We start from the raw sequence: 13,244 nt of genomic DNA on the forward strand, positions 1-13,244 counted from the left end.
TTTCTTAGTTTTCTACATCAAATTATCTCTCCTCTTTCCTTAAACAACAATCTTCTGTGCTACCTTCAGCTCCTGGCTCTATCCTTACTGCTTGCCTAATTCTTCATAGTTTCCTTAACATTTTCATTGGAATTTTAGGAATGTTCTTGCTTTTACTCAGGGGGCCTACACATTAGGCGTAAACACTTCCCTCCATTTCTCTAATCTCCCAGTCAATCCTTCAACCACCCTGCAATCTCTCGCTCAGATTCACTTTTGCACCAACCTAATAGCTAATAATTAATGGCTATCATATTGTGACTGTTATCTGTAACATGGAATCTTAATACCAGTATCACAAGAGCCAAAGGGCATGGAGAGAAATTTGTGGTAGAAAGTTTGTGGGGTGATTACCACAGGGCCTAACTCAATGAGATGTTGAACAAATCTTAGCTATATTTTGATAGCTAGTGTGTATGTATATATTATACCATCTTTTTAAAAATATAGATGTTTTAAATCATTTCTTTAAAAGCATACATCCTCCTAAGGAGAAAATTTAAAGTACCGCCATTCTACAATACTGTTTGATAGGGAAATTCAGCATTTGAAATGTACGCTAAAAAGTAATGATTCCAGGTTTAAAAAGAATTAATGCTCCTAGGAAGCTTAATGTTATAAATGTTATAAAATAGACTTTTGCTAGTCAATTTCAGGTTGTTTTTTTTTTTTTAATTTCTATGCTTGCATTATTATCTCAACTCTTTAACTTTGTATCTGGACTAAGTTTAGACATAAAAATTAAAAATGAAGCAGTAGATTATGTTGCTTGCTGTTTCTAATTTAACACCAGAATTTTAATAGTATGCAATCTTCAAGGGTTGGTAGTCTGGTAAAAACTTGAAGCAATAGTTTCATAGAACTTTAACTAAGATAAAGTATTAATTGTCTATGCCAAAGAGGGTGAGCAATGATAGAGATTATAAAGAGCCTAGGGCTTCCCTGAGACCCACCTTGGTGCTACCACTGTTAAGAGAAAATTAAAAATAAATGAACAATAGTTTCCAACTCTAAAACATATTATATGCAGTACATACTTTAACCTAGTTTACAATTTATATTTATTATGCCCACTGAACCCACAAAAGCAGTGTTTAATTTTACAGTTTAAAGTCACACATAGGGAAATGCTTTACAAAATAGGATATTGTTCCTCAATGAAAATATTACAGTATAGGTCCCAAACGGCTCAGTTCAAGTCTTTTACCTGAATAACAGAGCTGTTGTGGAATGCAGGCTACAAGACACAGTAATGCTTTAAATAGTTGATTAAGATTTGAAGGTTGCCAAAGCTGAGAGACATTTTAAACAAGACCCGTCTTAGTTTTCCAAGATTTTTGGTTTTTCAACTGCATTATATACCATTGCTTCTGGAAAATTGAGGGTAATAAGCAGCGTACATTTTACATCTTATATACAGTATGTAAATCTTCAATGATTTTCTCTACCATCAAAGCAAGTTTCAAGGTTTAAAAATCTGTTATACCTACTTAGGTTTATTACTTGACTTTACTCACAGACTCTAATATAGAAACCAAATATTTATGCAATTGCTTCTATCAAATGCAACATATTTCTTCAGTCTATTTAGTTATCTGCAAAGTCTATTTACAAAGCATATGTATGATTTCCTCTGACTAATAGGTCATACAAATACGTAAGTAGTGTTTTTCAACTCGTAATTGTAGCAAGATGAGCCATCAAGGTTTACGTTGTGCCTGAGTGTATAATGCAAAAATAGCATCCAGAGATTATATATTTCTTAATCAAAAGTCTAGCTTTACAAAGTCACATACAGTATGTTCTTCTATTGTAAATATACTCTCAGTATAGGTAGACGTGTTTCTAATATATTGTGAGTTGTTAAAGAAAAGGCTGAGATATAGTCACCAAGTGTTTACCAATAACATAAATTATTGCAAAGCTTGAAAAAAAATCAGGCCAAATATACACGACAGTTTGAATGGAATGCTGAGGACTTAGTGAATGCTGAAATATGACTCATCTAAAAGTCTGCTACTCCGGCCTGATGCTCCTCAAATTTTAATGACCCCTTAAATGTCCTCAGATGCACATGCAGTTTACGTCACTGACCACTGTTGGTCAAAACAATCATTGGATGTGCTTATTTTTCAAATTTTGAGTATCAAGTTGTGCCCTACCGTGACACAAAGCTTAGAGGTCTTTCTTGCAAACTGTAAAATCATGTAGAAAAATAGTAACTCAAAAATACCACATTTGACAGTCGGTCACGAAAGATGTTAGCACCTCAATAAAAATTAGAATTGTTCATTGGGTGTGCCAAAGGAAAGTGGAAAAAAATTAAAAAGCATGCCCTGTTTTTTATTTGTTTTTTTTTTTTTTCCTACAAATCACAGTTTTCCTCACAGTGTTAGACTTTTAGGTCACTCTGATGTAGCAGTACCTTACAGGATGAGGGGCCACTGCTCGTTTTTTCCATTTGACCTTTACAGTCCACATGGTCCAGTTAGTTGAAGCCACAAAATAAAGACCAGAGACAGCAAAATTATTGCTAATGTGCAACTATATTAGTAGAATGCAATTAACTGGGCTAACTAATGTGTATGTTAATGTCTTTTTTTTTTCAAAACCAACATCATCTAACAACATATTCTTTTAGTTTTTCCATAAAACCTGCATTGAGAATGATATCATAGCCCCAGGCAGGCATTTACCAGACTGAATGTTTTGCTGATCTGAACACTACCTGTATTCCAATTTTTTGGCTAATGCATGGTTTTGTATTTCAATATGTTCTCATACATTAAATAAATGAAACACAATTATACATTATAGAGTTTATATGCATCATGATGATATAATTTGAGAAATTATCTCTATAGATTATGCTAACAAAGGATTCTTAGGAAGATTTTTCAATGTACTAGCCAGTTAAGTTGATCTATCTGTTTGATAACCTAAAACTATAGATTGTTGGCAAATGAGAAAAATAATAGGGAAAACATACAAGTTCCTTTTCTGTGTGTCTAAATGATACATTGTCTTGAATTTGGTTCTATTAAAGCTTTAAATGACCATTTCTGTACACATGGCTATTTCATTTATTTAGTAGTTTTGAAATGTTAGCAAATATAAGGTATTTGTAAAGCATCTTTCATTATAAAGAGATTAGTAATATTCACCAATCATGCCAATGAGATTATACACTCTGCCAAAGACTACTAGAAAAATTTGATCATTATTAAATTCAATGTTATTTGACAGTGTGAACTCTATGTAACAGCACAAATTCTGGACTTTGAATCTGGCTGCTGTCCTCACCTGAACCATTAAAATGACCTTGTTAACAAGGAAGGAATCAATGGGGAAATATCACAACCAGAGATTGGCTGTGTGTCCAAGGGTGCTTTGTCTTGTTGCCAGGATCAGACTGTGAAATCACAGAGGCAAGCTGATGTCATCAGAGGTGACTCTGCCTATTTCAAGTCCTATAATCACCCCATGGGATTCAACAGCAGTAGGAAAACATCACATTCTCTTAATGGACACCCCATATTTGTAGAAACAGTTATGACTATTAGCATTTGTTATACAAACCCAATCTATTTGTGCTCATCTGTAGAATCCTACAGACACTAGAGACTAAATGATATTAATTTTAGGAGGTGTTTCTAAAGGAGAAACAGACAACATTTGGTTTTATTATCGTTTGTATCCCTCAGAAGTTGTGTGTAGACAACTTTCATCTAATACATCAATATCGACTTGTCCAAGTTTCTCGATGAAGTGAAAGGATCTGATTATTGGCTGTGTCTTAGCGTCTGTAGGAAGCTTCTAGGCTATTTGTGTACCCAAATTTAAAACTTGCACCTTGTTTCATTGAATAAGTGTTTTTCTTATTTGTGACTTGGAAAAAATAGTGTTAATGTGATGTAAAAAACCTATTATCATAGGCACAAGTAATGAACACTATTGGTCATGACAGATTAAAATTTCCTTGGAAAGAAAAATGATAGTATCAGAATAAGAATACATGAGGAATATATACATATACACCTGCTTCACACAGAAAGCTTTCTGTAAAAAAATACAAAAGCAACCAGTGCTGTATATTATGTAAACTCACAAAGTGTAAAAGTGTACTTTATACACAAACATGAAGCATAAATTAAAAAGTAGGACAACAGCAAAACATTTTAAATATAGAAAAATTTGAACATATTTTTGTTAAATAAGAATAAATAATTTTATCACACAAATTCACATACCAGTTGCAAAAACAATAAATTACTTTTTTTCAGTGCTGCAACTTTTTTTTTGTTTGTGATTTATCCCCTAATTCCTAGTTTAGTGGGATAAAACTGTTTCCACAGGAAGGCAAAGGAACATAAATTTATTGAATAAATTATAACAATGCCCACATATTTCTAAACAGCAAGGCAGGGCTTAATTTAAATTTTTCTGATCTAGAAGAAATAAATGTCATTTTTTCTGGCTCCCTTTGTACTTAATAAAACTTATTATGGAGTGCTTAGTTATGTAAGTGAGATTAGATTCTTACAAACCTGAGCATTTTCAGACGAATTCTTTTTTTTTTTTTTTTTTAAAGAAGTAGCCCCTAGCATCCTGAATTCTAGACATTTTAAAAAATTCAAGATGCAACAATGGAAAGGTGAAAGACAGTACGAAGTCAAAGTGGACTGACTTAGATTGAGTTGTATAGAATTTTCCCTTTGTTCACAATTCGTGGTATCTATTGAACACTCCATTTCTCTGAATTTCAGTTTCCAATCCATATCATCTTCTCCAGGAATTTAGACATACATTCCTCAGTCAATCTAGTGAGACTCATAAGAAAAAGGTGGAGAAAACTACTTAAAAGCATGGAATAGTGGTTTAATTGCTCTGAGCTCTCTAGGATTGTTTCCATGACAGGTGTAAACCATCACTATTTGAGGGAAACATGAATCATTGATAAACCATATTAAAAATGTATGAGTATAGTAAGAGAAGCAGAGTAGGAGACAACTACATTTATGCCTCGAGTATTTTTTAATGTTGTTGGGAATATAACCACAAAAAATAAAAATAAATTTTGTCACATTTGAGTTACTTGATTAAAATTATTTCCAAAATGGAAAAAAGTAACATTAACCTCTCTCCTAATTCTCTTTGCACAGACAAATGGCACTGGGATTATTATTTTTTTTCTCACCTATTTAACTAGGTTTGCTTTCTGCCCTTGGCATTGGGTGATCTCCATCACATATAGGTTATCAGCCTTGTACAGGCCTCATTTCTCAAAGTGATAATTTATTGAGAAAAAAAATTTCTACGTCAAAAGCAAAGTCAGTCTATGAAAATTCAAAGGATAATTATTGGTTTTGTAAAACAATTATTTGTTTTAAAAGCAATTTCTTAAGAAAATACTGAAAACAGCAAGACATCTATTTTCCTGGCCCACTGAAATGATGTAATATAGTGATCAGTTACATAATTCTTTTATATTAAAAACATCTTATAATAAAAATAAACTCTCATGAGCTTGTAGAACTCAAACAGTGGTTCCCTAAGATCTTCACATGCAAATCTTTAACAATAGGCACATTTGGCAGGATTACTATGAATTTTTATAAAGAAAAATTGGCTTTGCAGTGTTTCACAACAAAAGAAATCCCAAAGAAATCAAACAACTTAGATTTTCTAAGTTGTGAGGTTGGTGATGGGGGGGTGTACATTTTATCATCTAAAAAGATATCTTTAGGTGTGTGCTTATAAAATAATTTCCATGTCTAACTATTCAAACTTACAACCTACTTAAACAGGCTATGGAAACAAAAACAACAACTTTCTGAAAATCATCACATGTCATCACTCAAACACTTACGGGTACAATCAAGTGCTTTCCAGTTGGGAAAAATATTTAGTACAATAGGAATATACTTAGATTTTTTAAATTAAGAAATTATTGCCTATGGTGTGGAAACAGTCTTATTAATATTAACCACTTTTTGGCATTAACCACATTAACAATGATAACCACTTCTCAATGTGGCTAACTACCAAGTGATCTTTAATGTTTCTAATAAAATAAGTCAAGAAATACAAAACATTGTAGGTCTTACTGAACCCTTGAACAAAACAAATAAGCAAACACAAATGCATTTTAAAGGCTTGCTGGTAGGAGGTATACCAGTGTTGAATGTGTTGGACATGATAGAAAACTTGCTGTGTGTTTTGTACGTATATCATACATTGTGAGATATCAGATGAAAGCTCTGGAGAGAGAAAGTAGTTGTGAAAATATAAATTGAAAACACAGTGAAATACGATTTTTTTCCTTTTAAATTTCCAACACAAGGAAACTAGTTTTTAGACTCTTGAGTATGATCACACACACACACGCAAACCCTACTTCTACATCTGAAATTATGCATTAATTTGGCTAGCTACCTGAAAAAAATACAGGCAGTCAAAGGTTTAAGTAAATGAACCCGTGTATGTATTTAAGTGACTAGATACACTGAGATCTATTTACTTTTCAAAATTTCTCAGAAGATACTTGCTGTCAAAATGGTTTTTTGACTGAAATTTTATCTCCTGTAGTCAGAAAATATACTACATCTTATTAAAACAGCAGCAAGTTCTTAATTTCCAGTAAAATATCCACAGCTCTTTCTGGAAACGGAAGGAAGTTGAAATAGCTGCAGACCTACTTTGGTCAAACACTTTTTTTATAGAAATATATATGGATATTTTAATAGAACCAGGGGATATAAAGTGACATACCAAGGGAGAATGTATTTACAAACAGTAAGAAGAAGCTACTGTGTATTATGGGTGAAAATGATTATGATACCATTAAAGACATTCTATCAGAGGTAGGTGACAAGGGGGAGACAGTTCTGCCATCTTCAAATGTCCCCTGATTTTACATTCATCAGTGTTTCTTGTAAGCCCAGGGGATGTTCAATAACTCCCAAGTTTTTCTATATTGCAAGGTCACCACTGTCACGTGAAGCAGTGCACATCCTCTTTTGGTCACAGAGAGCAGATTCTGCCCATAATTGGACTCCTGTTGACAATGTCACTGAAGCATGACTTTCTGTGCGTTAGGTAGACCTCCTGTTCACCACGACTGCATCAGTGCTGAATCCTCCAGTTATCTTTGTGCATAAGATCATAACCACAGGCTAACATTTCTTCAACAAGCATTGCTTAAACGCAGAAGGCCTTTGGGAGAGAGGACATCCTTTTGCTAACTTCCGGTTTCCATCCTGGCACTGCACCGTTCTGGTGTGCCAACCTGTGTCACAGGTCCTAGAGCAGGCGAGCCATGGGCCCGTGACCCACTGCGGCTGCGAAGTGTGTGATCCCACTTTATTGCTGCCATGACTAGTGACAGAGTTTACTTTTGGAGTGGACTTCTTGGGAACAAAAAAGCTATAACGGACATCTAATGGTTTAGTGGGGTCTGTTGCAAGAATCTGCACTATTAGAATTTCCTTCGTGGCAGAGTAGCCCATGCCATGCAGGAAGTCATCCCTGTGGCTCCAACCGCTATAGTTCATGACTGTTCCATTGATGTCAATGATAGTCTCTGAAGTGGAGATCATGTACTTTCCATTGATAAGGTACTCACCGTTTTTCTTTTTCAGGGCTAAATAGGCAGTGAATCTAGTCTGGTCTTTGGCTTTGAACTGTCGAACTTTTATGTGGGTTGCCCCTTCAGGAATCCTCACCACGTCAGTGTAACCCTTACTGGAAGTAGGAATGTTCACAGGAAGTGGGGGAAGGTGGTTAAAAAAAGGGAGAAAAAAATGAGTAAACACTTAACAAATAAATACACAAACAGAAGTTCTCTAAAAAGTCTTCTCTTAACACACAGTTTTAATGGATTAGTTTAAAATTGGGTTTAAAAATTATTTTTTATGAGAAAATTGCAATTATACTACAGTATTGTATACACTTTAATTGAGGTGTTCAAAATTAGGATGATGCTAGCAACCTGCCTTCATTTAAAACATTTATACTAACTTTCAAGATTTATACAACCATTTTCATCCTTATCAGATCCTATCATCTTTACAAATCTACTTTCCATTCTTTCTGGCACAAAATGGGATCTGTTTAAACACAAACTGACAAAAATATGCCTTCACTTAATCTCACATAATTCTTTAATATTTCTCAGATTGCTTCCACATTAGAATCACGTGGGGATCTTTTAAATCTTTCAGAGCCTACCCACACCTCAGACCAATTAAATCCCCATCTTCCAGGGTCGGGCACAGTCAAGAGCACTTTTGAAACTTCTCACATTGTTCCAATGTGCAGACTAACTTGGGAACACAGAATTAATTAGTTTTTGGACTAGAGGTGAGTAGAGTCTCTGCATTCCTTTCTACTAGAATTCTGGATTTGGTGGGACAGGCCATAAATGAAGCATGCAATTCTGAAATTGGGTAATGATATTACTAATACCATCATAAAAGGGGAATTTTTTTAAATGACTTAGAGAATTTTTCTGAATTCTTAGTGCCCATAAGATACGATAGATTGAGAAAGGCTTTATGGTGAGTGACATATAAGTCTTCAAAGAGCCATCATCTGGACAAAAAAATGGGGAAAGACACAAATATCTTTAATACCCATAAACCTGTGAGGAATGCTAGGATGGAAATGCTAATTAAGCACCAAGGGTGAAATGACGAGTCAACTTTTGTCCACATTTTTGCCTTTTTAAGTAATTTCATAATAGGGTCCCTTCACTTTCCTAGTTATTTAAACAGGAATACTATTGGCTTGAGCAGTTTGACTGACGTGTGGAGCTGAACTGTCTCATTTCCAGTTCTCATTCACATGCTAAAAATCCAAGTGTGTTTCCCTTACTCCAGAGTTTCCTCTGAATTGGAAAGGAAGCTTATCGCCAAGGAAGTCCCCTGTCTGCAGGGCAATCTGTTCTACAGTGACAGCCACACAGGTGGTAAAGCTTCCTACAGTGTTGAAGAGAGATGATGCAATGCTCAGGGCGTTCCTTATTCTGTCTAACTCGATTCATTATTTTTATTTTTGTAATACATTACAGATCAGATTTTGTTACAGATGTGTTTTGTAGTACCTAATATTAATAAATAATCCATGAAACTATAGTGGCTTCAAAGAAAGTCAAAAGGGATGTTGGAGAATTCCTCGAGGTCAGGAGTTTAAGAGCAGCCTGGGAAATACAGGGGAGGCCTTGTCTCTACAAAAAGTAAAAGAGTTAGCCAGGGATGGTGGCGCATGCCTATGGTCCTAGCTACTGGCAAGGCTGAAGTGGGAGGATCGCTTTAGCCCAGGTCTTGGCTGCAGTGAGTGCACCACTGCACTCCAGCCCGAGTAACAGAATGAGATCCTGTCTAAACAGAAGGTAGTTGGAGATAAATATAACATCTTACACAAAAAGAGTATGAAATGGGGATATATGACAGTATTTGAACAAGTTCACTTTAGAGCTGATTAGTGGCAGTGTTAGGCTTAAAAGCCAGGCTTGGCTGGATGCCGTGGCTCACACCTGTAATCCCAGCACTTTGGGAGACTGAGGCAAGGGGATCACCTGAGGACAGGAGTTCCTGACCAGCCTGGCAAACATAGGGAAACCCTGTCTGTACTAAAAATACAAAAAGTAGCTGGGCATGCTGGCCCGTGCCTCTAATCCCAGCTATGCTGGAGGCTGAGGCAGGAGAATCGCTTGAACCTGGGAGGCAGAGGTTGCAGTGAGCCAAGATGGTGTTATTCCAGCCTGGGCAACAGAGTGAGACCCTGTCTTAAAAAAAAAAAAAAAAAAAGCCAGGCTCTTGACTCCCAATTAGCGCTCTTTTTCACTATATCCCCAGGCATAAAATCCTGACCCCTGCCAGCCATATGTTATAGCAGTTAAATGAAATTAAATTCTGGTTATGTGCAGAGTTTAAATGATGCCCAGTAAGGAGTAAGTAAAATAAAGAATAAAGGGTAAGGGAAGCTTTTTTGGGTGTTTACCCTTGTTCCTTAGAGCTTATCTCATCTTGATGAGAATTAGTATGATGGTCAGTATTGCTGCAGGTCTTCAAACTGAGTTTCACAAGCACTAGTAAACCTGAGTATTAGTGCCCTGATTTTTTAGTGCCTTAGTAAGAGATGATTCTCTTGATATTCCTGATTCCTTTTCTTTACATCCTGCTTGGTATCATTTAAACTCCAGACACTAACCAGCTTTCCCGACTACCATAAGTGAATGCAATTTTCATACAACTCTTACAAAGTATGGCTGGCAGGGCAAAGGAATCTTGTTTTGTTCAGGGCTATCTGCACAGTGCCAAGGACAATGTCTGTCATGAAAAAATATATTCATTTATATTCAAGCATGCTCTCAGGGAAGGGATGTTTTAGTCCGCTCCCAGCAAACAAAATATGTGGTGATATCAATTGATAAGAGCTGTGAAGAAACGGAGTAAGGTAAGAAGTTGCACAGTAGTGGTGGGAGTGGAGGAGATGTCCTCTTGTACATTTACGGTAGCCACCATCTGGGGAGGTGATATTTGACAGAGACCTAAAGAGATTCTGGAAAGTGTACTGCTCATTAATAGCAGAAAGTGTTCCAGGCAGAGGAAACAGCATTCTCATACCTGGTGTCATGTTTTTGAAGTGCGAGAAAGTGCATTCTGGTCAGAGCAGAGCATGAGAAAGGGACAGTGTAGAAAAGACATAGAGGAGGGAAGGGGCCAGATCTTTTAGCACCTTAGAGATTACAAAACAGTCTTGGGTATTGAGTCTAAGTAAGATGGAAGCCATTGGAGGCTACTGATCAAAGGAATGCAATGATCTGGTTTAGGTAATAGCCATGGCTTCCCTTGCTTGGTAAGATGAGATTGAGGAGCAAAGGATCCAGAGGTCAGCGAGAAGACTGCAGTGTTAGTCCAGGCAAGATCTGATGAACACTTGGATTGCGGTGGGAGCGGTCACGGTGGTGAGGGGCACCCAGATTCTGGAGATGTGGTGGAAATAGAACTGACAGGATCTGCTGATGGATGGATGTGGGGTGTGAGAGAAAATGAGACGTGAACCATGCCTCCAAAGTTTTGGCCTCAATAGTAGAAAGACTGAGTTGCCATTTACTGAGATGAGGAAAACTGAGGGAGGAGCGAGTTAAGATTAGGGTCATATTGTGAATGGGCTTAAAATTGATGAAATATTTTAATATGTATTACCTCATTTCACCTTCACAACAGTTTTATTAACCATATGATAATAATTACCAGTATTTCCACTTTACTTTTGAGAAATCTCCTGGTAAAGAAATTAGGTGACAATTCAAAGATCACATGTCTAAGGAATCATTGAGCCAAAGCTTGATTACAAATATTGCAGTATGAGATCAATGTTCTTTTTCATAAATCATATAAATTACTATGGCCTCCCTAGGTAATTAATTTGAACTACTCAAACATGTCATTTGTACCATAGTAGAATCTTGGTCAAACCAATTTTCAGGTGGTTACATTGCATACCACTTGTTGCTATAATGAATTTCTTCTTTTTCATGTGAAAAAATGTGCAGATATTAGTTGTCAGCACAAAAATACTTAAAATGCTAAATTTAGCAATTTTAAAACTGGTTTATAACTTTATATAGAAGAGAATATGTACCATAAAGTGTATAAGGTATTACTTTTTAAAAGTAGTTTTGTTTCTAATTTGATTCCTGAATTCCCTCTCTCCCTCCTTTCCTTTTTCTTTCCTTCCTTCCTTCCTTCCTCTTTCTTTCTCTTTCCTTTGTCTTTCTTTCTCTTTCTTTCTTTCTTTTTCTTTCTTTCTCTCTCTCTCTTTCTTTCTTTCTCTCTTTCTTCTATCTCTCTTTCTTCTTTTTTTTTTCAAAGTGACCTGTGTATTCTAGGATTTCAGTTATGGTGTCTGCTCTTCTCTGGCATTCATCAGCCATGGATAATTGGCTAACTCCTATATTTTCAGAGTCCAACTCATTTTTAAAACAGAAGGTTGGACTGATCATCTCCAAGGTGTTTTATACCTTTGAAACATATAAAAATGCAGGATATAATTGGGCATGCAGGGTTTTTGACATAGATGGTCTAACACAATTAGGTGAATAATTATTTCATTAGCAAATAGAATTAGTAACGCATATTTTAACTCAGAATAAATTTTTCAGCCATATATTTTCAAATCACATCAGAGAAAATTTATAGTTTTTTACATTAACATGTTTAATTATTTTAATAAATCCTATTGTTAATTTCGTTTGCATATTACTCTCAAGTTACAGACAACACAGCACGTACATCAAGAATACAGATACATTTGACTAATAACACTCAGCCTAAGAGTGGTTTGGGAAGAAAAGCAAGCCTGTATTTTACCAGACTCTAGTCAACTCAGTCATCCTACCTGATAGCATATTTTATGCCGGAAATTGGTACTTCATAAACTTGAATATTTAAAGCAAAAATCTAGGACCATAAGAGGAAGCAGGAGAGAGACACTGCTGTATATATTTCTTTAGAGAGTAGATATAAACCAGGATACTTCACTGTTGCCCACACCATTGCAATGAACTTACATTTTGCAAGGGGAAATATTTTCTTAAGGAAAACACAGTGTAAGGATAATTTGTTTTTAAAAATATAGTTAAGATCAAAACCAACCAACCTTCCCTAAATTATGTTTTAGGAATAACACTAGATCTGCAAGATATCACTAAAGTGGAATGTCCCCCACTTTTTCTTTTCAGTTTTCTGACTCTACAAGCTATTGATTCCCATGGCTACTGCAGTTTATCTGCTTCCAGAGGCAGCATGAGTTTTCCCTGAGCAACCAGAGTTTTATTCATCTCCTGTCTCTTCCTTCTCATATTTAAAATGTGTTTCTAGAGCCACGTTAGACCTCCTCATACAGATAGCTTATGATGTAATATGAATCCTCCTTTATCAATTCTGCAAGAGTCTAAAGCTTTGTTCAATTCACATAAAGACAAAGGTTCTATCATATTACCTTTTCTTATTAAAGGTTCCAACAATCTTTGTACAGCTGGAGTTGTCTCCTCCACATACTCCGCACTTGTCATACTGCAGCTTTGAGCCAATGATGCCGTCACAGCCAGTTCTCACACACTTCCCCCGGACGCAGACGGAATTACTGTACAGCCTACATTCAGTGCCATCGGTCACCTGAATCATGGCAAATGCATT

General features: G+C 35.9%; 1 protein-coding gene across 2 annotated transcripts in view; it reads right to left on the bottom strand.

Moving 5' to 3' along the window:
- Positions 1-1,083: 1,083 nt before the first annotated feature.
- ADAMTS5 (ADAM metallopeptidase with thrombospondin type 1 motif 5) overlaps positions 1,084-13,244 on the bottom strand; it is a 49,167-nt gene continuing 37,006 nt past the window's right edge. For both annotated transcript variants that reach the window (XM_047440680.1, NM_007038.5), the window contains 2 exons: positions 13,048-13,223; positions 1,084-7,782 (listed from right to left, as the gene is read on the bottom strand). In XM_047440680.1, the coding sequence (XP_047296636.1) occupies positions 7,215-7,782; positions 13,048-13,223 (744 nt within the window). In that variant the 3' untranslated portion in view covers positions 1,084-7,214. The remainder of the gene's footprint in view (positions 7,783-13,047; positions 13,224-13,244) is intronic.

Source organism: Homo sapiens, chromosome 21, assembly GCF_000001405.40.
Source record: "Homo sapiens chromosome 21, GRCh38.p14 Primary Assembly".
NCBI classification, from domain to species: Eukaryota; Metazoa; Chordata; class Mammalia; order Primates; family Hominidae; genus Homo; species Homo sapiens.